This window comes from Homo sapiens, chromosome 4 (assembly GCF_000001405.40).
Source record: "Homo sapiens chromosome 4, GRCh38.p14 Primary Assembly".
In the NCBI taxonomy this organism is placed as follows: domain Eukaryota; kingdom Metazoa; phylum Chordata; class Mammalia; order Primates; family Hominidae; genus Homo; species Homo sapiens.
The window spans coordinates 87,821,398-87,846,792 of record NC_000004.12 but is presented as its reverse complement, the minus strand read 5'-3'; the positions used below and the strand labels follow the sequence as shown (position 1 = coordinate 87,846,792).

The following is a 25,395-nucleotide window of genomic DNA, read 5'->3' as shown; positions in this document are numbered from 1 at the left end:
TTATCATCGAGAGATATTGTTTATTTTCATGTCTACAGAGCAAACAACATAGAAGGCATTTGTGACATTCACCAACTATTTTTAAATGACACCTACTCAAATGTTACCTATTTCATAGATCTGTAATGATTTTTTTTTGCTTAAAAACATTATAGCCTTTAATAGAATTTTATACTGTGACTATTAAGATAGCAAAAATTCCCCCAAGGAGACCAGGATTCTTGGCTCACTCAGTTCTTCACTCTATCCTCTCTTCACCTGGTCAGCTGTCAGGTGGCTCTCCTCTACATCAACTCACAGGTGACGAGGTCTTCAGACTGTCACCCCGCTGGGAACTCCTGGTGGACTAGTCACCATCGCTCTCACTTGAACTGCCACTGTCAGATGACTCACTACTGTCATCCCTTCTACGGGAACTAAACCTCCTGTTGGAATGGGGTTGTCTACCCCAGGAGCCTTTCCCTTGTGGCATACCCTTATTCCGTGTAGAATTATTTTGTCTGTGGGGTACATAATGATATTTTCTGCCATGTGTTATTATATTCTCATGACTGGGGCCATTAAAGGAATCCATTTCGTTTTTGATTTCATTATCAAGACCACGAGAAGGAATGGGCAGGCCCTGACTTTTGCCCTTACTAGGAAACCTTTGTTTTTCATTTAAGGTTGCTTGGTTCCTATTAGAATGATCTACACCCTTTCTGGTACTGCCTTTGCCATTTTTAGGAATTTCATTATAGTTGGTACTTTCAGCTGCATCACTACTGCCTTCTTTTCTTTTCTCTTTTGAGGGTGCAGGAGGGTAATGAAACTCAACCTTCCCTTGGTGAGCATTTTGGCTGCCAGCATCCACTCTGTTTCCTTCTCTTCCAGGGAGCTCCTTAAAATTGGTACTACCCATGATATCGTTGCTGCCCTCTACAAGGCTGACATCAACAGCATCTGCCTCTTTCGCAGTTTCATCCCTAGTTCCAATGGTATTTCCACCATTTTCTTCTCTCTCTGGGATCTCATTATAACCTGGCTTTTTTGTGTCAAGATGAGTACTCTCAGCTTCACTTGGGCCTGCAAACCCTGTTTGAATATCTTTGCCTTCTAGGTCAGGACCAGTAGCTTCTCCTTTACCAGGAATGTCCTTAAAAGGTTGGCCGTCCCCACTGAAAGGAGATATATCATTGTCCCCTCTCTCTTGAAGATCTGTATAACCGCTGCCTTCAAAATCACTGGGGATTTTTTTGACTTTTGAGAGATGTTTTAGGTAGTCAATGTTGTGTTGAATACGATGGGTGCTTTTGCTTTTTACTGGACTTTTCTGGGCTTGGGAATCTCTTTGAGGCTTCTTTTTATCCTTCGAGTGTGCTTTAGCATAATTCATACTTGCTGGGATTATGTTTAGAACATTCCTAGGTGTGTTCTCTTTGTTTTCTTCCCCCAGGAGTTTAATCGCAGTCACTGGCCCCATTATATGTTGCATGTTATTTCTGATGAGAGCTGCGCCATATTCTTCTTGGTCATGTAGTTTGCTGATAGCATCATCTCCATCCTCAAACCCTTTATTCCCAGTTGACTTAGGATAAATTGACATCCTCAGGCCATTGTGAGTATTCTCTTTGTTACTGATACTATATTCTTTATTCAGTCTCTGTCTATTTGTGAAATAATTTTGAGATTTACTACTTCCCTTATTCTCACTGGCTTCAGAAAGGGACAAATCTTTCTTTCTTTCCTGGACAATATTTTCTTTAGATGATAGCTCTTGATTTATTCTCTTGCCCAAATGGTGAAAACCAATATTGTCTTTGTTTTTTTCTTCCTGCTAAAATACAATTTTCAATATGAAGTGATTATTTTATGTAAAATTTTTAAAATATAATAATTCTTAGGCAATATAAAAACCATCCACCAGATATTTAATAAAAAGGATCTATTAACTCAATAGAGGTTTACTGGTAGAGGTCATTCTAGAATGGTCAAATCAGGTTTCATGGAGAAAGAAGAATGAACTAGGCTTGAAAAATGGGTACTATTCAAATATGCAGAAGGGAAATTGTGAGAATATTTTAAGAATAAGCGGCATATTCAATTGTTTGGAAACAGGACACAATTGAGACATAATATGAATAAACCTACATAGTGGGAATAGTGAGTCATTGCAAGTAAAATGGATTTCATATATTAAAATTAGTTCTCTCTCTCTCTCTCTCTCTTTCTCTTTTCTCCCTTCATTCTGATCATCAGAGGTATTCATCTGCCTAAAGGAGTATTTTCTTTTTCTTTCCTTTCTTTCTTGCTTCTTTTTAAACAGAAAATCTGCAAATAGAAGAATCTTCTGACATTTAAAAGTCCCTGGGAGAATAATGGGATGAAAAAGAGAAAGCAGAGGAGGAGAGTAAAGTATTTATATCTATATTTGAATTCATTCTTTTATTTTGGTGGGGGAAGGGGCAGGATCTGTAAATATGCTGCTTCATATCCTGGGTTTTATCACTCTTGGGTGCAGCCAACTTTCAGTAAGCTTGGCAGAACAATGTGGTCAGGAAGAAAGAGCTGAGATTGACTATACCGTATGCCACTCGCTATTTCTCTGTAGCATAGACTAAATATAGAAGTGTCTGAGCATCTGGTCTGGAGGTTTCCAGAGAGTGTTGCCATAGAGGAAGTGAAGTGGCTCTAAAAGGAGCAGTGTAGATGGAGTACATACTAGGGACAAATGTGAGTCATACTCAAACAGGGAGAAGTCTAAATTGCCCATGGGAGCTAAGAGAGGCTGAGTCACTATGGCCCTAGTCAAGACTATACTAAGTGAATCCTAAGCTATGGTAGCCGACAACTTCATTTTAGAATGAAGCAGGGCAAGAAGCATTCAAGTGGTTAGGCAACATTATCCCATGCATGTCTGAAGATTCCAAGTCTTCCTCTTCACTATGGTGTAAGCCATGTTTGTCCATTTGGTGCATGGTATGTAGTGGACGGTGTAAGCCACACCTGGATGCCATATTAGAGGGAGAAGGAGGGGGAGTGAGGATCTGAGCATTTTTAACTAAAAGAGACTGATTTATTTAAATAACTATTTTAGCTATTAGATAACCTTAAGTTTAAACAGATTGAATTTAATTTCTGCACATTCCCTTGCCCCTCCATGAGGAGCTCTTGAGCAACAGAACAATTATAGACAGACTAAATGTCATTTTTTCTTTTCACCCCCAAATTGTAGGATGAGCTGGAATATACAACATCCCTACATAGGCCTTTGAATTGATGAGTAATATGAAATCAACATAGGAGATATTTATTGAGAGATTGGAACATGGAAGAAATTAGGGTGGGTGCTGCATGTTCTAAGCAATATCTGGTGATATTTATTGGCAAAGGCAGTGATCCTGAGGGGTATGGAGGGTGGGGGAAGGTCTGTGAGGCAGAGACATCATATCCAATTAGGTCTGCACAGACAAACAGAGTGCCGGAGACTTGTAGAAGATGGAATGCCAGGGTGAAGAATTTGGTTTTATTTTGTAGAGTATGAAGAGCTAGTGAAAGTTCACAGGAGATTAACAAAATAAAAATTAAGGATTTAGGAGGAACAGTGGTAAGAAAGAACATGTAGGAGGCTTTTGCAGTATCCAGTAATGAGATGTAATCACTTGGATTAGGATTACGCCAAAGAAAAACATTACAAAGAAAAAAACCCCTTCTTCTGGTGCCCAAGCAAAAAGCCTTAATAACTAAAATGGACTGGAATGTTAACATGTAAAAATGAAGATAGGGTGAAAAAGACAAGGGCTTTAATGTTAGACATATTGATGTTAAGGGAATATAGAACCTGAGCTCAGAAAGCAATATACAGTTAGAGATAGAGAATTGGGTATCACAGGCTCTTAGTGTGTCCCAGTACAAGTCCTTCCCAGTTTTCATAGCCCATGGTCAACTCTTCTTTCCTTGAACATCTTACATGCTAATTGTTTATTACTTTTCAGATCCTATTGTTTCACTTATACATAGTTGTAATATTTTCAATAATTTTTAACCTGAAACTAGTATCCATTTTTCCTGATGCAACACCTAATAAGGTTATTTCCTCTTTCCTATGAAACCCTCCCAACATTTGAAAAAGTTTAGTGTTCCTTCGAACTCGCTGGCTGCTTTCTCTTCTCCAGGTTGACACTACAGTTCTCTTGTGTTAGGTGACTATGTTCAGACCCATCACCTGATTATGAATTCCCTTTTGTTTGTGGGGTTCCAAATCAGACCTTGACTCTGATGTGGCCTGATCGACCCCAAGCACGGGGCATCCATCCACTTCCTTGCCTTGACCACAGCCCTATTTTTACTAATACAACTTAATTTTGTGCTTTTTGACAACCACTTCAATTTGTTGGCTCTTGTCAAGCATGTGGACATCTTAGATGTGTTCATTAAAGATGTCAGAATACACGAGAGCTCCCTGATGGAGAGAAAAAGAGCATGCAGCCAGAAGCTCATAGTATTTGGTCAAGTGTGTAGGGAAGGTAGCAAAGAAAATAGAAAAACCAAACGCAGGGAAGCCAGGATCATAGGGAATATGTTGAGTGAAACAGTAGGCAGGAATTGCCAAATAGTTTTTCTTAATCCCTCAGTCCAGTACTCACGAGAGTAGCTGTGCTATGGAAAGAACACATGCATTAGAATCAGTTGTCTCACTGCCGTTTATGGGCTGTGTGATCTTGGGAGCATTATTTTACTTCTCTGAGCCTTAGCTTTTTTAGCTGTAAAATAAAAATGATATCTACCTTTCAGTATTTTGGGGAGAATTAAATGATTTTTATTAAATAATGCATGTAAAGCATACAGAACTGGGCATAGCCCTTTAATGAATGATAGTTTCTTTCCTAGATAATATTAATGATAGTCATGTAATTACTGGATACACAACGGTTTTCCCAGTCTCTGGACTTCTCTAATATTGGTTGTAGAGGCAGATGAAGATGGACAAACTCTGGACCCCCCTGCTCTTGAATTGCCCAAGTGTCATCCTCGGGCTGTGTGTTCTGTAAGCTTGTAGCCGTCGATGGGATGTTATCTGAAATAGATTTTGATTGGACTCTCTCTTTTTTTTCACTCCCAAACAGAAGTACTGTTCTGCTTGGAGGACTGTCTGCTTTTATATATGTATCTTATTAACTGTTGGAAGTAGGCGGAAATGTTGAATCAGCTCACATTTGAATCTAAAATAAAAATGGCTTTTAGAAGTGCCCTCTACTTTTAAGAAGCTAGCTAATATATGGTCTGCAAAAGTGCCAATGTATAATATTTGTAAAATATAATTTGAAATTACTTATTTGTAAAAGTTATGGCATTATTGTTCATTAATTTTTTAATATTGGTGGGTATATTCTGAAATACGATTTTGCCATAAGAAAAAAATAGAAATAAACTTTGTAGTATATCACTAAATAAAAAGTATTTTAAATATTTGACTTGAGTAATTGAGTCCTGGAAAGTTTTACTTGGACATTTATGTTTTCCTTTGCAATCAAGTTCATTGTTGTTTGTTTACTCATTACTAAGATAACCTTTTGAGTTAAACACTAAATCTAAACTCAGTAGATTATAATAATCTCTTCCTAATTTTTTCTCTCCCTTGTCTGAAGTGGGAAGTTATGTTTTATTTTCGGTGCTTCTCTGCTTTTAAAAAAGTAACATGTACACTAATGAATTGTGTGCATTTTATTAGAAGACTGAGTAGAATAATTTTATAAATGAAAACATGAAACAACTTTTATCCTGTGGTATATGATGGCTATCTTTGCATTGAAGAAAATATCAAAAAATAGAAAAAAACTTTTCTTACATTTGCTTGTGTTAAATGATTTCTGACTGTTCGATGGTTTATGTACCAGTTGGCTGGCTGCTTTTCTGTGCTCTGCTTTTCTGTCTCCATGCTTTGGTTCCTATGAGTTTTTTCATGGAGAACGGCCTCACCCATTCACTTCTGTTTGCTCAAATCCTACTCATCCTCCATGGCCCCACACAATTATTTCCATTATGAACACCAGAGGCCAGGAACTAATTTCTTTCTACTCCAAGCCCTTAAAGCATGATCTTTTTTTTCTTCTCGGTACTACTCACATAGCACCTCCCACATTCTGTCTTGTTTTACAATAATTTTTGTAAGTGCCTTTTGTTTCTTTTCTAACTCTAAGATCCTGGAGAGAAAGAATTTGTTTTCTCCATCATTTTATCTCACATAGTATCTTACACACCAGTTAAGAACTCCACATATATTTGGCAAATGGATATGTTTTAACTTATTTATAGTTAGGTGTAGTCTTAGAGATGTCATCTAAAGGATATCGATGGCAGAAGAAAATAACATTCTGAAGGGAAACTATTACTTCCATGGGAAATAAAACCAGATTTGGAAAAAGTAAATAGCCCTTTTGCTGATGGCATTTCAAGCTATTTCCAGCCCTTTGGCCGATGAATCTACAAGAAGGGACTGAGTGAAAAGAATTATTGTCATTGTAGTGACAAGGGCCTCATTCTTTTACTTCTGAGCAACCCAACACAGATGGAGTTATCCATAGAATGAATTTAAGAGACAGTAAAATGTGTCACTCATTAGGCCAAAATGGTTTTTCCTCTTAGCCGTCCCCTGCTGAGATCCCCACCATCAGAGCATATGGTAGAATATGTCAAGAAAACTTTCTTATAAAACACCAAATGTTACTCAGAAGCAGTAACACAGCAGTCCATGGGCACCTGAGGTCCATGAGTATCACACCTGCAGCCACAGGTCCTGAAGCAGAGCGAGATGTGGGCCGAGGCATGGGATGGGGATCAGGAAGATTCTGGGACCCAGAGTTTTGTAGTAGAGAGGCTTGAGGAGCCTGGGGAGGGAGGGAAGGGACAAAAGTGCCAGCCATAAGACAGAAACCCCAGAGCAAGCAAAAGTAAACTTTGCCTCCCCTACATTTTCCTCTAGGGCTAGTCCAGAGTTTAGTCATGCTGAGAATGGTCATTCAGAGATTCAGCTTACCTTTACATCAGTTTGATTTTTCTTCTCAGGTGACATGTAAACACACTTAAAAACATAATGCCCATGTTTCTCATAGTGACCCTTGTATGTTATCTACAAAAACACAACATTATATTGAGGCACGTTTTATCTCTTACAAAGAAGTTTTTGGGCTCTTTGTAATAATATAAGAAACTTTAAAAGTTGGGTGAAGTTGAATTCTACCTCTGACAAATGGTAGTACTTCTTATAACCACAGGAGGGTGTGTGTCAGCCGGCTCCCGAAGACAGCAACTTGTTCCTTCTCTTTTCTACATAACTCTAAATCTGTTTTCCCTAAGGGCCTGTCAACTGCTTTCTGTCCTAGGGTGGATCGATTTTATTACCAAACGTCTATGGAAATGGAGCATGTGGAAATATTTTCAGGTGGGAGGGGGTGAGAGGACCAGGAGAAAGACAGGATTTACAATATTCATGTCTGATGTCTAATTGGCAAAACTCACAGCATGAACATTCAGGCTCTTAAGCTGGCAACGTTGGCCTTTGTAATTTTCAGCTGAGATGAAGTACAGAAGATTGTTAGTTCTTAGAACATAATTTTCTGTGATAGGCAGAAGCAAGCTGCAATTTGGTGGCATGCAAAGCGGGGAGGATTCATTTAACTGGATGCATATGGAAAGCTGACTCCACGGACATAGAATTCCCCATTCAGATCTGATAGCCACCTTCCCCTTTACTCCCTTATTTATCATTCTGAGAGCAAAGTGTTTGTCAGGTACATGTGTGGGAAAATATTGTTTGCTAGTAGCAATGTTCCCAAATTCTTACTCACTTAGCCCCATGAAGGTTGCCTGGCAAAGCATTGTTTCATTTGAAGGAAGAAATCATACTGGGGAGAAATAAATCTCTATTCACAATGTTTTCCTCTTTTCTGTCACACATGGTGTGTGAGTTACAATACCTGATTGACTAGAAAGTGCCAACATTATGTTGTATATTTTTTCACTTCCATTCAAAGTGCCCAAGACTATTTTGACAGTTACACTTTTCTCTTACTGACTTTTTCTTTATAGAGCTGAAATAGAGTTATTTGAAAAGATGAATTCTGTTTACCCTCTGCTCTTCCACACAGCTTTGCTTAGTTTTCTCAGTCTGTGGTTGAAATGTCTGAAAGGAAACAAGAAACAAAACTTCACCCACTAGAACATTCTATTTCATTAACTTCTTCAAACAAATGTTTCATTTATTTTTCTCTCACTGAGTTGTATTATTCACTGTGGAAAATCATTCTAACCAAAAGAAGATTGACACACTCATCGCATTAATATAATATTTGTTTCAATATTACGAAAGACAGTGCCAGCTTTCTGCCCCCAGAGGGAGACAGTGCCGTCTCCACTACAGAACTGGATTCAAGCTCAGACAACCGCTAAGTGGGTGTGGTGGGGGAGTAGGGAGGGATGGCACCCCAGACGAAGGAGCTTGGCTGCCATCAGAATCCACTGAAAAAGAAGTTTTCACTGGCAAACTGGGAGTTGTTAAATATAAGTGAACTAAAATCAGAGTTTGACGATTTAAATTGTGTGTGTGCATTAATTATATAAGTTGAGTAACTGTAATATTGAATTAAGATATGATGCTGCTGATGGCCCAGGGAGAGTCAAACCATAGCCGTTCATGTGAATGGTAGGATCGCAATTAAGGACAAAAACTTATTGCTGCCAGATGTTACATTCTGAGAAGGAAAAATGGAGGTGGCCAGCAGATTAGGATAAATTCTGTTTCTTGGTTTGACATAAAGTGTCAAAATTTCTTGAGGGTAGCGTAGGGTGAGGGGTAGCTATTGAAGCGCAGAAAGGGCAGAAATGAAGAAAGAACAGACCTCGGCAGTTTGTCCCAGTCCTTTGGGCTGAAGTTTGCATACCACAGGAAAGCACACAGAACAGGGACCCTAAAATCTGAGAGCAACTGTTTTATTAAAGGAATAGATGTAAGTTCTTTAATTCTCAGTATTTTTCATTTACCTCTTTCTTTCAGAAACTCCTAGCCTATCTCAGATGTGGCACTGGGAACCAATGGGCGGACTGGGCCGTGTTTGAATGGGTGTGCTACAGTGGAAGCAGGCATCATGGTGGATCAATCATATAAAAGAGAGAACCCCTTAAGGGAAAGATTGAATAAAGAGATAAACAGAAAGAGGGCCGCCTAGGCCAGCTGTCCTATTTACCTGGAAAGTGTTCTTCCTGAAGAAGCCTTAAGCTTCTATATTTTGTTTAATACAGACAGGTTGTTGCTTGCACTAAGATATTGGGAATGCCCCTGCTTGCTCTCAGCTCCTTTGTATCTCCAGCTCAATCTGAACTGATTCCTTCATTTCCCAAGCTCATTTGCCCTCTGTGTTCAGACTGGGTTTGGGTGAAGGAGGCCTGGCATGAGTCTGGAGGGGGGGAAGGAGAGAGAAGCCAGGGTATGTCCTTCTCTACTCTCCGTGTTTGGGGCTGCATCTCTAGAGTTGGGTACATCTCCTTTGTGGTCCTAGTTCCCCCAGCCAGGGGCCTAGGAGCAGCACCTTTTTTTTTCCTTCCAGCCCTAAGCCTGGTAATAGCTTCGATCCTTGGGTGGTCTCACCACCCCTGGTTGGCTTTTCTGTTCTTCCTTATACTTTATAGCTAGCTTCCCTTAGAAAGTCGCTCTACTGAGCTCCCTGTAGTGGATTTTGTTTTCTGGACTGGACTCTGGCAGATAAAATCATCTTCAAAATATAAAACTCAGAAGTTTAGAAAGCACCTCCATGGCTGGACTCCAAGGCATAGCTGCCTAATATTCAATTCCATTCTAGAAAATAACAATAGTTTATCAATAACACCTTCTATTTATAGGACTCTTTATAGTTTGTAAACTGCTTTTGTACTTATAATCTCATATGAGTCCCAAAGTAACCTTTATAAGATGAGCAGTAGAAGAAACAGAAGTGCCTACACTCATAGTTGGTAGTTGCAGTAGAAGTAGAGAAGATATTTTAATTTAAATCTTCTGCCTCAAAGTCCCAGGGTTAAAATAATAAATTTTTGAATGATTAAATATGAAAAAGCATTTAGTAATAAGAGGAAATGTTCCTAAACTTTATATTAATTATCGTCAAGGCATCTTTTATAGTTTTATCCTTTATTGCATTTCTTATGTTGATTCTTATATGATCATGTGAATATAAATTTGGACAATTATATCACTCTTCAAAAATATAAAACCAGGGCAAACAGTTCTGGAAATTGGACTATAGGAAGAAGAAAGCATAAAAATGAGATGGGCAGATATTAAGCAAAAGAAAGAAATGATAGTATGGGGTGTCAGGGATCTTCTTACAGAACACACACACACACACACATATGGATTAGAAACATACTTGACAATATAGAGTACCTCGGTACAGTTTTGATTTATTGTGACTTATAACAAAGTCTTTCTAGTCTAACTGCATCTTGATGAATATTAACCGAATTGCATAGCCTAATAAACATTCATTTTCTTCCTTTTAAAAATCATTTAGAATTTGGCTTATAATTCTAAGACGTATGCAAGTGGCTGAGTATATACTAATTTCTTAAGCCACCAATCTATCATTTAAAAATTCAGGTAATTACTAAAATGGCATCTATATACCTGGAAGAAAACATCATATTTAATGATTCACAGTTACAAATGTTGCCTCTGCATCCTTGCTGAGCTGCTTTCATTTGAAATACGCATCCCTCCCTTGTCCCCTCTATACCCCCAAGCAGATGTCTTAGGCTTGAATGTGGCCCTGTAATGGAGATGGCATTGTCTGCCTCTGGGCAGGAAAGCTGGCATCCTCTTCTGATCAGTGGTCACTGAATCAATGTTGACATAGCACATTTACTGGAAAATGATGAGAAAGCCCCACTCCAGCTGCTTCTTGGAACATGTTGCTCAAAATAAAATCTTCAGCTGGCCAACTTGAGCTAGGTCAGCAAGACTCATTTTTCCACCGTGAGAGGTGGGAGAGGCACCTGAGCCTCTAGGCCTTGATTGAGTGAGGTCTGTGCATGGGGTCTCGCAAATGTGTGTTGTGAGCAGTACAGCCTCCACAGTACTGTACTGCACACCCTTGTTGCACAGAGTGTGTGCGGAGAAGGGAACACATTTCCCCAACTTCCACTGCCCTCCATGAGGCCCTCTGCTTCCCTGGTCATCCTCATCAGCCTGGTTACCCTAGCAGTCACCCACTCACTCAGGACCTATATATAAGTATGATTGGCAATGGGATGACTATTTGTTTCCATGGTTCTCCAACCAAAAAGGTTATTCTGATAAGTTAGGATGCTGCTCAGACATTATCTAATTAGCACTGTGTCTGCATTGCAGAAAATAACTAACACTCAGCATTTTCACAAGATAATTTGGTCACATCCTGAATATTCAACTGGGTGAGTCAGAGGGAAGAAAAGACACACAAGGAAGTAGGAGCTTGATTTGGGTTAAGCTTGGAGGTACTACGTCCCACCTCTAGCCTCGCTGATGAAGAGAAAATCACAAGTAGGATCCCACAGTATTGGGGTGTTGCAAGAAATACAGAAGAGTTCTTGTCTCTTTGCATTTTTATCTATTTACTAAATCTAGCTGGTTAGCTTTAAAACATTCATGTCAAATTCTTTAAGTTTACAGGAAAATAGTCAAAGATTATTTTACCATGTTATAATTTGAGTCTTTGAGTATCACTCATTAGTATCAGCTGATTTGAAATGCTGCGGCTGCCTCTTGGTTTTCTCAAAAAATCTGTTTTTGGTGTTCCTTAAAAGACAATGTTGTCAGATCTCATAATTCAGCACATGTTTATTGAGAACCTCCTTTGTTAAGAGTGTTAAGTGCTAGATGCTTTCTGTTTGCTTGGTTCTTTTTAAAATAACTGAATTAGGTAGATGCTACTAATTTAAATAGACGTTGCTTGAAAGAAAAACAAATGAAGAGAGCAAGAGATTATCTGAAATATAATTGAATTTGTAAATACTTACTGGTGCTGCCCAGGTCACACTGAAAAGGAGTAGTCCCACACAGAAAACTCGCATCTTTGAGAATCTCTGTAAAAAGACAACAATATCTTACCACAAAGCATTGCCAGTTATAAACTGCAGCCATAAGAAGAGATAAAACACATAGGAATATATAAACACCCTTCCCCTTGGCAGTTCATATCCTTTTGTGTATGTGTGTGTATAGACTATGTATAACTTGCTTATACCCGAGTGTGGACATTTTAAGAACTTTCATATGTCTAGTTATTCCAATGTGAAAATGAAAATTATTCAATATCATTAAAACAGTAAAGTCAGTTGATAGAAATATATTTTATAGACACATTTATTTGCTCTATCATCAGCTCTTCTTCCTCTTGTCTTTAGAAAGAGATTGTTTAATTATTTGTGTAATTCAAAATGACATTAAGTTGATGTAGCAGCTCATAACACACTCTAAGTTTGTCAGGGTAGCAGATTGCACTGTGAGGAAAGCTTATCTGCCTCCGGGCTGGTGCCCTAATCTGTGTCTCATGTTCATTAGCAATGTGTCTGAATTAGTAGCCATCCATGGGCTGGAGAGTGAACTAATTTTTGCAACACTGACATTAATGGCTAACATTTATTGAATACTAAAATGAGCCAAGCACTGGGTCTAAGAATTTTGCATGCATTCAATTATTTGAGCCTCACAACAACCCTACAAGTTAGGCGGCGTTACTATGCCTGTTGTATAGATTAGGAAATAGACACAAAAAGATCAAATAACTTGCTTTAGAATTCACAAATATTAAGGGGCAGAACTGGGATTAGTATCCAGGCAATGTGGCTCTAGACCCAGTTTTCTTCATCAAGACTCTCTGCCACCTTAAATAACTTTCTATTCTTTTATCTTATTACAGAAAAATCCATGTACAGTTGACTTAAAGGCAAATCATATTTTATATTGGGCTCAACAAAATGATGTTCAAAATACTAACATTTAGTTACAAATAAAGGTATTTGTTTATATTTTGGTAAATATACCAACAGGAACTAGTGAGCTCACTTAAGTAGCCATTAGATTGGAAAAAAGTCAACATGTCTTTGGACTATTGATCTTATTATTATATTGTGAAAACAATAAATTTATGCCACTCTGAGATTTCTTGAAGAAAAACTTGTTTTTATGGGAAAAAATAATCTAAATATTCTTGCAATCTTTAAACACCTCAAGGAAAAGCTGGTATTTGGAGAAATGATTGTAACTATTAAATATATTCTAAAATCCTAGGCTATGTTTTTCTAAATTAATGCAATTAGAAGGATCTAAATTCTAACTATAGTTTACCCTTCCAAGCATTTTATAGATCAGGACAACGTAAGTAACTTATGAAATGAGTTAATGCTCATCAGTAGAAATATCAACACAGATGAGGTTTCAAAGTATGAATAAGATCAGATTTTCCTGATTGCAGTTTGTTAAGTGAAGGGATAGAAGAAAACTGAAGTCTGAGTTACTGTGGATCTTGATAATGCTAATAACAAAAAAAAAGAGAAAGTTGCTATCAAATCATCAATTTTAGTTGATGATTTCTAGAGCATGGTAACGCATTTCCTATTTTATAAAACAAAGCACCAAATATTACACAGTTTTGCTCAGTAGAGAAGATTTTCAAAAGTAATAAAACCATACTTGGGTGGCAAGCATCTTAAAAACGTAAACAACTATGATATAAAGCTATTTGCTGTCAAGAACATGAAAGCCAAATTACCTGGTATCTTTCACCTTCAGAATACCTGGCTTCTTGTTGCAGGATTAGAAGTCTCTGGGCATTTTGCTGAAATTTAAAGTTTGTTAGAGTTCCCAATGGCCAATCAGCACTGGCTCACTCAGCGCTAGCAAACAATTTGTTACAAGCGCCCACAGATAACCATAGGGGGTGAAGTAATTTTAATCTAAAAATGTGTTTGTGGTAGAAAGCTACTATCAAATGTTCCAGAAAGTGGGATAAACAGAAAATATAAATACCTCAGTTTGGACATCATGTTGTCAGATAATCAAAATTGATTTCAGAACTGCTAATTAGGACTGACTGAATACCTAACAAGTTTAGAAATGGAAAACATTTTTGCTATCCTTTTATGTAGAAAGTTTATGATGTCAATTTTATCTAAGTGAAATTCAGCAACATTTAACAAAAATGTTTTAGGTGCCTACTGTGTGACAGGCATTGGCGAAACTGCAGTGAACAAAACAAGACAGAAAAAAATCCCTGTCTTCCTGGAGCTTAGAATCCAATAAGGGAGACAGATAATAAACAAGATAAATGAGTTAAATAGATTAGATAGTGACATATACTAAGTCTAAGGAGAAAAAGTATTGTTGGGGAGTAACAAGCATTGGGGGTGGGGACACTGGGTTGAAATTTTAGATAGGAAGTCCTGGGAAGGCCTCAATGAGAAGGCAACTTTTGAGTAAAGACCTTGTTATGGTTTCAATGTACGTGTCCCTCCAAAATTCCCATGTTAGAACTTAAACCCAAGGTGACAGTATTGAGAGATGGGCTCTTTAGAAGGTGATTAAGTCATGAAGGCAGACCCCAGTATGAATGGGATTAATGACCTTATAAAAGGGCAAGAAGAAACTAGCTAGTCCCTTTTTGCCCTTCTGCTTGTCTGCAGTGTGAAGACACAGCATTTGTCCCCTCTGGAGATGCAGTAGCAAGGTGCCAAATTGGAAGAAGAGATAGACAGCCCTCGTCAGGCAATGAACATGCTGGCCTCTTCATTGCGGAATTCCCAGCCTCCAGAACTGTGTGAAATAAATTTCTGTTTTTTATAAATTACCCAGTCTGTGGTATTCTGTAGTAGCAGCATGAACAGACTCAGATAAGCCTGCAGCCATATGACTGTCTATGGGAAGACCATTCCAGGAAGAAGAAATAAGAAAAATAGTGCCCCAGAAATAAAAGCCTTGTGACTTGTTCCAGGAACAGAGAAGAGGCCACTTTGGTTGGAGGCCTGAGCAAGGGGAATAGCAACAAATGAGGTCAGAAGGGTATTAGATGGCAGATGGTATAGGACCTGTAGGTCATTGCAATGCTTTTGACATTGCTATGAGTGAGAAGAAAAGTCCTTGGAGGTTTTAAGCACAGGCATGATTGAGGAGTGACTGAAGTAGGAAAAAGGCAGAGAGAATGGCTAGGAAGCTCTTGTAATAATCCCAGCCAGAGATGATGGAGGCTTGAACCTGAGTGCGGCAGAAGGGATGATGAGACGTGGTCATATTCTGAAGAAGTTTGGGGAAAAATGGTAATAGGATTTGCTGAGGTACCAGATGTGGCCTGTGAGAAAACAATCAAGAATCAGGATGACACCAAGGTTTTGACCTGAGCAACTGGAAGAGTAAAGTTGATTTTTTCTTCATATTGGAAAAAATGCAGAAGAAAATGGTTTTGAGGAAAATATTGTGAGTTTGGATTTAGACAAATTTTATAAGATGGACAATTTAAGACACTCAATTTCTTAATGAAACAAGTAACAAACCTATACTAGAATAAGCCTTTCCAGTGCGATTGCCTGCTCTCTTGTTTTGCCCAAACTGGCTACCAAAATAATTGTAATAGTTTGAGAGGTTCCACTTAATATAAAAATATTATAATACCTGTAAAGGTCATTGACATTATGACTATATATTAAAGCATCAATAAGAAATTATGTAAGAGTTATTTAACCTATACTTTGTGATAAGAACTACCTACAGTGAAACACACCTTTAACAGTTGTATATTATATATACAAATGATATATAATAAGATTTAAGTGTAAACTGTCAATTTATCTCAACCCTCCAAATAGACAAAAACCAAAACATAAAACACAAACAAAACAGTATTTCATAAGTTCTACCTGAGAAAATGGTGCCTTTTCTAGGTCAAGCTAACTCTCTCTTTTTTTTTTTTTATCATATCTAAATTCTGCTGTTCCTCTTTTGAGTATCCAGAGCTGCTTTTCCTCCTCTCCCTCACCTCATGTCTTCTTGTTAAAAAAATTTTTATTTAGGTTTGGAGGTACATGTGAAGGTTCATTACATAGATAAACACATGTCCCTGGGGTTTGTTGTACATATTACTACATCACCCAGGTATTAAGCTCAGTACCCAATAGTTATCTTTTCTGTTCCTCTCCTTCTTCCCACCCTTCACCCTCAAGTAGACCCCAATGTCTGTTGTTTCCTTCTTTGTGTTCATAAGTTCTTATCATTTAGCTCCCACTTATAAGTGAGAACATGTGGTATTTGGTTTTCTGTTCCTGCGTTAGTTTGCTGAAGATAATGGCCTCCAGCTCCAGCCATGTTCCCACAAAGGACATGATCTCTTTCATTTTTATAGCTGCATAATATTCCATGGTGTATACATACCACATTTTCTTTATCCAGTCTGTCACTGATAGGCATTTAAGTTGATTCCATGTCTTTCCCATTGTGAACAGGGCTGCAATGAACAGCCGTGTGCATGTGTCTTTATGGAAGAATGTGTTATATTCCTCCGGGTATATACCCAGTAATGGGATTACTGGATCAAACAGTAGTTCTGCTTTTACAGAACTGCTTTTAAGAACATCTTCCAGGACTAGGTTTGAGCTATTGGGTGGGGCCACTGTTGACTTACAACCATTCAAGCATAGATTTTAGAATATTTGAATATTGTCATTGACAGTGGAAATATTGAACTCTAGAACTCTAGTAGCTTTGGAGGCAAACAGACTTGAGTTCAAATCCTGACTCTACCACCTGTTTACTGTGGCAAGTTGATTAAACAACTAATTTGAACTTTTCTGTGCCTCAGTTTCTCCAACTGAAAATAAGGAGCACAGTATCCATGACCAGAATTTCAGCAAAGTCCAAAAAAAAAAAAAAAAAGGATTTGGGTGATATAGAAAGGAGCTAACAAGGGAATGGAAGTCAAGGAAGGAAAGAAGGCAACAAAGAGTGTTCAGCCAACTCTGAGACTGAATGGAAATATAGAGCTTTCTAAATGGAAGACAAGTGAAATCCACAAAAAATGCTCATTTTCAACTTTGGATATGCTATTGAAGCAATAAATAATTCAGGAATTTCTATAATAATGTGTATATAATGCAGTGTTTTAAGCTGTTACACTGTTTCATAACATTAACTTTATATTTTGAATGATCCAGTTATAGAGCAAACACTTGATATGTGCCTTAGGAAATGTTCATTTTTTTATTGCTATAATTTTATAAATAATTTCAGATATTCCTCAAATGCATTTTTCTTAGTTTCAAATAAATTTCAGTGTGCATGAAAAAGATTTCCCTTTCATTTGAGTGATGGAAAATTAATTATGATCTAGAAAAACCTGTGTTCTAGGATAAGAAAATTTATAGAGTTTTAAGAGAAAAAAACTGGCTTAGCTACTAGTCCTACCAAGGGGTGAACTGGCAGTAGCTAAATATACTGCTCTCAAAGCTAAAATGAATTCAAAGCTACATAAAAAAATTCAACTTGAGTTTTAAATTTAGAACCTACAATTGACAAAAGCAAAAAAAAATGAGAGCCTATTCTGGCTAGAAGGTTGCAGAGAAGAAATTCTGGGGAAAAAAAATTAGGAGAATGATCCTTTGCCTAAGTTCCATGCAGTAGAGATTTTTACTTCTACCCTCTTAAAACTTGCCCTCTGTGTTGAAATTGAACTTCAAAAACTCAATATAAGTTTCCTAAAGGTTATTGTATAATAGAGAGTTTTGCCATGGCATTTCTAAGGAACCAATAACTGAAGTTAAAACCAGGAGTCTGTAAAAAAAATATGTATCTTCACACCATCTCTATTTAACTGGAAAACAAAACAAAACAAAGAAAAATGGGAAACAACTGAGAAGGGAAAGAAATGGACACTTGAACTTTTTTCTGGTTCCTCGTTCCTGGTTCAAAAATGGACACCTCCACCAATGATGCACCTAGCCTGACTTTGCTGGGTCAGACTGACACACAGAGTTGCTCCTCAAAGAGAATCTGGAAGGAAGTACTCCATGGAACATGCTTCATCCTGTCGTGGGTTTTTCATTTCTTATCGATCACTTGAGTGTGAACAATCATATAAAATGCTAGCTAACTAGGAACCTATACTATCAGTTCCAGCTATTAGACTCTCACCCAGGAATAAGGCTTTTTTGTTTGTTTGTTTTATTTTCTCATCTATTTCTAGGACCCATCTTTTCTGTACTTGTGCTCTGGGATTAATTGCTTTGGTATACATTTTTTTTTAAACTTAGTATTCTAGGAAGTCCTTTTTCCCCTGCTATCATGGTCCCCAATTTATTCTTGACTCTATTAAGGTAACACATTTCTCTGTCATCATTTTAGACAGACTCACACAATACACTTTTCCATATGTTCTAACTAAAATAAGTTTCTGTTTTACATATACAATATACTTTTCTGTATGTTCTAACTTGCCAAAATAACTCTCTATCTTCTAATTTACATACATTACAAATATACAGTATTTCCCCTCCTGGATCAGTGGGGAAGTCTTTGAAGTGTTGTGAATAGAACAGAGGGGTCCATGTTGAGTAATCTCTTCTTTACCATACAGATGCTTAGATTGGTCAAGGCTTTAGGCATTTCATAGAAGTATTTACTTCCCACTGATATCCAAAATAAGAGTCCAGAATGAGTGTGCTGGGAGTCTTGCCCTGTTTTTAGCAGAAGGAATGTTTTCATTTTAAACGTGTTCATTCATGAGTATCAATAATCATCCTAAGCTCAAAAAGGTCACCTTTTCTAAAGCATCACTTACAACCAACTTTCTCCTTTACCCTCAAATTAATTTTATTTTTAGTTATTATTTTTTCTGTCAGCATTTGGGAATTTCAACAGAAGCCATAAAAATTTCAGCCAGATGCAGAATCATGGAGGGTCACAGCAGAGCATGAAGTTAGCTGTGTTCATTCCTCTGGGCTTTTTGTTTACCCATTCCTCTATTACAAGCAAAGAGAAGACATGTCAATATAATTTGCTTTTATTTTTATATTAGAGAGATGTCTTACTCCACCTTAAAATGTAACTCAGAGGATGTAGTTAAAATATAATTATAATGATGCTAGCCCTTTCCTTCAGGACATGGTGACATTGCTGGAAGTGGCTGCAAAACTTTGTTGTGTGACCTCAAGAGGAAAATATCTCTTACCCTCATAATAGTCTTTTTCAGAGGTTGCTGTTTTGTTTTTCAAGACCAAGAATCTTCTTCTCAGGATACAGAACTTGAGGACTTTTACCAGCTAGCTATTCATTGTATCGAACATGTATTAATATTTTCTTACCAAATTAGGGTGTATATCGTCTTAGCTTATTTTTAATTCCATGTTTATCTGCATTGTGTTATCATTTTATTTTATCTCTTTTTTCATGAATTCCTTAATTCTCACCAACCCAGATTTTCTCTATGCTTGTCAGTTCCTGTTCCAGTTATCTGTTGCTATAAACATACCACCTTAAAACTTTTCGTAGTTTGAAATACAAATTCACTGTTTTCTCTCAAGGTTCTGTGTGTTGACTTGGCTCAGCTGCATGATTCTCACTTGTGATTTCTCAAATGGCACAGTCAGAGATGGGGTGCAAGAGTCATCCCAAAACTTGACTGAGCTGCACATCCGATATGCCACAGTGCTTCTCCACATGATCACTCTGTCCTGCAGAATAGGCTGGACTTCCTATATGGTAGCTCAGGATTTAAAATGCTCAGTCAGAAATGGGATCTAATTAAACTAAAGAGCTTCTGCACAGCAAAAGAATCTATCATCCGAGTGAATAGACAACCCACAGAATGGGAAAAAATGTTTGCAATCTATCCATCTGACAAAGGTCTAATATCCAGAGTCTATAAGAAACTTAAACAAATTTACAAGAAAAAAACAAAAACCAACAGCCCCATTAAAAAGTGGGGAAAGAACATAATTAGACACTTTAGAAAAGAAGACATACATGTGGCCAGCAAATACGTGAAAAAAAGCTCAACATCCCCACTGATCATTACAGAAATGCAAATCAAAACCACAATGAGATACCATCTCACACGTCACAATTACTATTATTAAAAAGTCAAAAAAACAACAGATGTTGGTGAGGCTGCAGATAAAAAGGAATGCTTTTACACTGTTGGTGGGAGTATAAATTAGTTAACCATTGTGGAAGACAGTGTGGCAATTCCTCAAAGACCTAGAGGCAGAAATACCACTTGACCCAGCAATCCCATTACTGGGTATATATCCAAAGGAATGTAGCAGATCACGAGGTCAAGAGATCGAGACCATCCTGGCCAACATGTTGAAACCCCATCTCTAGCAAAAAAAAACAAAAACAAAAAACAAAAACAAAAAAAAAAACTGTTGTGGTGGTGTGCACCTGCAGTCCTAGCTACTTGGGAGGCTAAGGCAGGAGAATCCCTTGAACCCGGGAGGCAGAGGTTGTAGTGAGTGGAAATCATGGCACTGCACCCCTGCCTGATGACAGCGTAAGACTCTGTCTCAAAAAAAAAAAAAGAATATAAAGAATATAAAGCATTCTATTATAAAGAAACATGCACATGTATGTTTATTGCAGCACTATTCACAATAGCAAAGACATGAATGTGCATCAATGATATACTGGATAAAGAAAATGATATAAATGCCCATCAATGATATACTGGATAAAGAAAATGTGGCATGTGTACACCATGGAATACTATGCAGCCATAAAAAAGAATGAGATCATGTCCTCTGCAGGGACATCGATGGAGCCAGAAGCCATTATCCCCAGCAAACCAATGCAGGAACAGAAAACCAAATACTGCACGTTCTCACTTATAAGTGGGAGTTGAATAATGAGAACACATGGACACAGGGAGGGGAAAAACACACACTGGGGCCTGTTGGAGGTGGGGTATCAGGAATAATAGCTAATGCATGCTGGGCTTGATACCTAGGCGATAGGAGGTACTGTGCAGTAAATCACCATGACACACATTTACCTGCGTTAACAAACCCGCACATCCTGCGCATGTACAGACCTTAAAAGTTGAAGAAAAAAAGATAGTCGGTTAAAAATTAATTAACTGGATTTGTTGGTCTAAGAATAAAAGTTTCCATGCAAATTGAAAGCAGAGATTGACAGGCTAGTTTTATGGCCTAAGCCTGGGACTGTTGCACAGTTACTCTCCACTTGTTCGTCAAAACTGTCAGATTGAAGCGGGTGCAGAAATAGGCCTCACACCTTGATGGAGAAGTGGCAGCCTCACATTGCAGAATAGCTTGAGGAATGGGAGATAACGTTTCAGTCATTTTTGGAGAATACAGTGTGCCTAAGACATACCCCGGGTGTAATTCAGGTATTGGGCATTCACTGACAGTTATTCTCAGAATGTTTGGTGTACTGGATTTGATCATGGCCCATTTTATGTAGCAGGAGTAATGGTTGTGCTGTTGATTTTACAGAACTAACCTACAGCTAGAACCAAGATCAAGCTTCCCCTCAGCTGGCTAAGAGGTGAGACATACCTGATCATTCTTGTTACAGAATTTTGAAAGACAGTATAGTGAAAAAGTTACCTTTAAATATTATTTATCAAAGATAATACTTCTTGCTGTGCCTAGGTCCTGGAACTGTCAGAAACATCTCATCAAATAGCTGCAGAGGGTGGATTGCTTGAGCCAGAGATGGAGACTAGCCTCAGCAGCATGGCAAAACCTTGTCTACTAGAAAATACAAAAATTACCCTGGTGTGGTGGTGCACACCTGTAGTCCCAGCTCTTGGGGCCGCTGAGGCAGGAGGATCACCTGAGCCTGGGAGGTCGAGCCTGCAGTGAGCTGTGATTGCACCACTGCACTCCAGCCTGGGTGACAGAGCAAGACCCTGTCTCAAAAAATAAAACTAATACATAAATATGTAGCTGCAGAAAGGAGAAAATCCTCAGGTTGCTCTATCAAACATCAGAAATGTTCCTGAGTTTTTAAACAAAGTTTGAAGCAAAGGACAAAGCTTCAAATTGAAAACAAACAAACAAAAAAAACACAAAGAAAAGAGAAAAAGATACAATTTATCTCTTAAGTGATTAATGACAACAACATTTTCAAAATGATCATAGTTTATACAATCATCTAAAAGGGGATCAGTGAACTATGGCCTGTGGGCCAAATCTGACTCATCACCTGTTTTGGCAGATAAAGTTTTATTGGAACACAGTCATGTTCATTTGTTTACGAATTGTCTATGGCTGCTTTCACTACAGTGTCAGAGTTGAGTAATTGTGACAGAAACCATATAGCCTGCAAAGCAATCCACCCTCTGCAGCTATTTGATGTTTCTGACAGTTCCAGGACCTAGGCACAGCAAGAAGTATTATCTTTGATAAATAATATTTAAAGGTAACTTTTTCACTATACTGTCTTTCAGAATTCTGTAACAAGAATGATCAGGTATGTCTCACCACTTAGCCAGCTGAGGGGAAGCTTGATCTTGGTTCTAGCTGTAGGTTAGTTCTGTAAAATCGACAGCACAAATTCTGCAAAGCCAAGAATACTTTCTATCTGGTCTTTTAAAAAAGAAGTTTGCTGACTTTTGCTTTTTAGTGAAAGCTTGCTGACCCCTTATTAAAATAGTGAGGGCAGAATTTATATTTTAAAAAGAGATAAGATGAATTCTGTACATATTAATGGTGGTCTTATCTTCCTGGACCCTGGGAACCATGAGATACAAGGGAGAAGCCTCCTGAGAAAGACCAGGATGTAACAGAATGTAATTTGCATGAGAACCTTTATTCTTCAACCAACAAATCAAGTTAATGAGTTTCTAACCCACTAAGTATTTTAAAGAGCTAGGGCAGAAAATATTTGCTACACTGTACATGGATAAACAAAATGTCCAAGTCATTGCTTCATGGTTTACTTTCAATTGATGTTGATTCTTTTTTTTAACCCGAGATTCATGTTTCTTTACTTTAGATTTTCCTTTTCAAAAGAAAAGGAAAAAAGTGTGTATGCTTTTCTGCCTTTCTCACACTTCCACTATTTGTTCTCCTCATCATTCAAAGAGATCCACTTTGCCTGGAGAAGGATTGGAGTTTTTGACAGAAAGGATCCAAATGAAAAGAAAGTCAACATTTGTTTTCTTACTGCTGAAATAGACTCTTGAAGCCCGCATCAGAAACAATCATTTTGAAAGCTAAAGCTTTAGTTTTGCAAAAGTATTGTTTGTTTTACCTTTTTGGTTAAAGAAAGCGTGGTAGAAAATCAACATGGCCAACTATGAAGGATGCAGGGCATAGAATTTATGTCACAATAATAAACTGAAAAGGAGAGGGATATTTAGTGAGCCTCACAGATTAAAGATGGGTCCCCTCTGCTATCCTGTCTGCTACCAGCTGCAGAGGATATTGATTGAGTCATCGTGTTGAAGGAGGTAAGAAGGACTTGAAATGAGAGGACAAAATACAGGGTGATCCTGGGAAAAGGGCAGAGTCATCTTTGAGAAGCAGTTACACTGTGGCCACGCTGATACCTACAGACCATCCACCCACACAGTGGGTGAGCAGCCATTGAGCACACCACTGCCTGGCGAGGTCCTGCATGTCTACCATGAATTATCTTGTAAGAGTCACCCTCTTTGATGCGTCAAAAGCTTTTTTTAGCCAGTCCACACTCCTATGTGGCCAGCCTCCTTCTGAAACGTCCAGGACACTCAATGCTTCCCAAACTTTGAGATCTGGAAGAGGTATTCAGGGGAGCTGCTCTGCTGCAACTTCCTGACAACCTTGCACAACTCCATACCAACCATGTCTTTATGGATTACATATGGGACCAGAATTGACTGCAGTACAACCTGAGTCTTGGCAAAGTACCCTGCAATTCCTCCTGCAGCAGGAAAGGATAAGCAAGCTGGTGAAGAGATGCCATGGGCAGTTCCCACCCACCTCCCTACCTTGTGGAAGATGACCACAAGGCCATTTCTCATTCGTCTCTTTAGTTTCAGTTGAGCACAGGACTTTTGACCTTGCTCCCTTAGGGTTCAACTGCAGACTTCTTTGTGAGTATACCTATTTGGCTAAGGGGTAGAGCTGACTCCTCAGTAGCAGAACGACCTACCACCTGTGCCATCTGTCATCTGGCCTCTCTGTTCAGTGTCATTCTATGGAATTAGAGATGCAGGGAGCTGACACCATACAGGTGATGCTTATGTTTTTTGTGTATGTAATAAAATGTCTGACTGTATTTGACTTCATGGTCCCCCTACTGGCTGAATCTGTGGAAGTGTGGTGTGTGAACCTAGCAGCTGCATTCAGGAGCTTCGTAACCCAGTTACCAACCACACTGCTGCCCGGGGACCACTTAATTGCTTGACGGGTTGTGAGTGGGAAAGTCCTGGGAGTCTGCACTTGGGTAGAAGTGGAGATTACAAAACCCACCCCAATTATCCAAGTTACTCAAAACTAGATGGGTTATCCTGGAAAGCATGATGAGTCAGGTGATTGGGCTTCCCACTAGCTTAAAAATATGAAATAATACGCCAATCAAAAGACTCTGAGACTAAGCACTGAGTGTTGAGTGGAAGTTCTACTGCCAAGAAGGAAATCCATTTCAACCAAGAGAGGATAGACTTTGGGAGGTAAGACTTGGCGGGAAAGTCGGGTGAGACATTTTTTTTTAAAGCCAAGACTCACAGTCTTTGTCCTACATTGGAGAAAGACAGTGCTGGGTGTTGGTTTGGCAGGCACTGTGTGGGCTAGTTGGTTAGGCATCAGGTAAGGGCTGTGTTGGCCATTTGTGGTTGCTTTCGTAAGTGGTCTTGTGCTGCATATATGAGGTGTGCACGCTGGGATTATGGTGCCCAGCTGCTGTCTGTGTGAATGAGGGCTCCCCTGCAGCTTTATGGTGCTCAGGGGTCTTTAACTTCTCTTCTTGGGCCATCCTTACGGGACTATGAAATCTGGTTGCCCCTGCTTCTATTTGTATGGAGCACCCTTGCAGGCTTACGGGGCCTCAGGGTCCCTTTCACTAGGAGCCAGATGGTACTGTCATCACGAGGCTAGGTGGCCACATTAGGATAAATAACAAGTATCATTCAGGATTTTCTTTTCATTTCCACAAAGCAGCAACAATGACCAAAAACAGCACACATACATGTTTTGCCCACTTGCTTGTCTTAATCTGATTTCAAAACTCTCTTAAAAGGCATTCAAAAGACTAAATTCAAACTATATGTACCTCAGGTCTTACTTTGCTATTGGTTTTGAAATAACTTGAAAGCCTGAGTCTTACCAGTCTACCTTTTCCTCTTTCTGGTGTGGATAGCTGCCGGCAGGCCAGGGGAGCACTGCATTTGTTTATGTAAA

The 25,395-nt window shown here is 38.5% G+C and overlaps 1 protein-coding gene across 6 annotated transcripts; it reads right to left on the bottom strand.

The window, feature by feature from the left end:
• Positions 1 to 25,395, bottom strand: MEPE (matrix extracellular phosphoglycoprotein). 6 transcript variants are annotated; one of them, NM_001184697.2, is made up of 6 exons: positions 13,779 to 13,824; positions 12,025 to 12,090; positions 8,108 to 8,161; positions 7,016 to 7,108; positions 6,761 to 6,866; positions 1 to 1,816 (listed from the first exon to the last, which is right to left on the bottom strand). In NM_001184697.2, the coding sequence occupies exon 6, from the start codon at positions 1,583 to 1,585 to the stop codon at positions 347 to 349; it is 1,239 nt and encodes a 412-aa protein (NP_001171626.1). In that variant the 5' UTR covers positions 1,586 to 1,816; positions 6,761 to 6,866; positions 7,016 to 7,108; positions 8,108 to 8,161; positions 12,025 to 12,090; positions 13,779 to 13,824; the 3' UTR covers positions 1 to 346. The 6 variants fall into 6 exon arrangements, with proteins under 6 accessions (NP_001171626.1, NP_001278112.1, NP_001171625.1 ...); NM_001291183.2 differs by lacking the exon at positions 6,761 to 6,866; NM_001184696.2 differs by lacking the exon at positions 7,016 to 7,108 and having other exon boundaries at positions 6,739 to 6,866.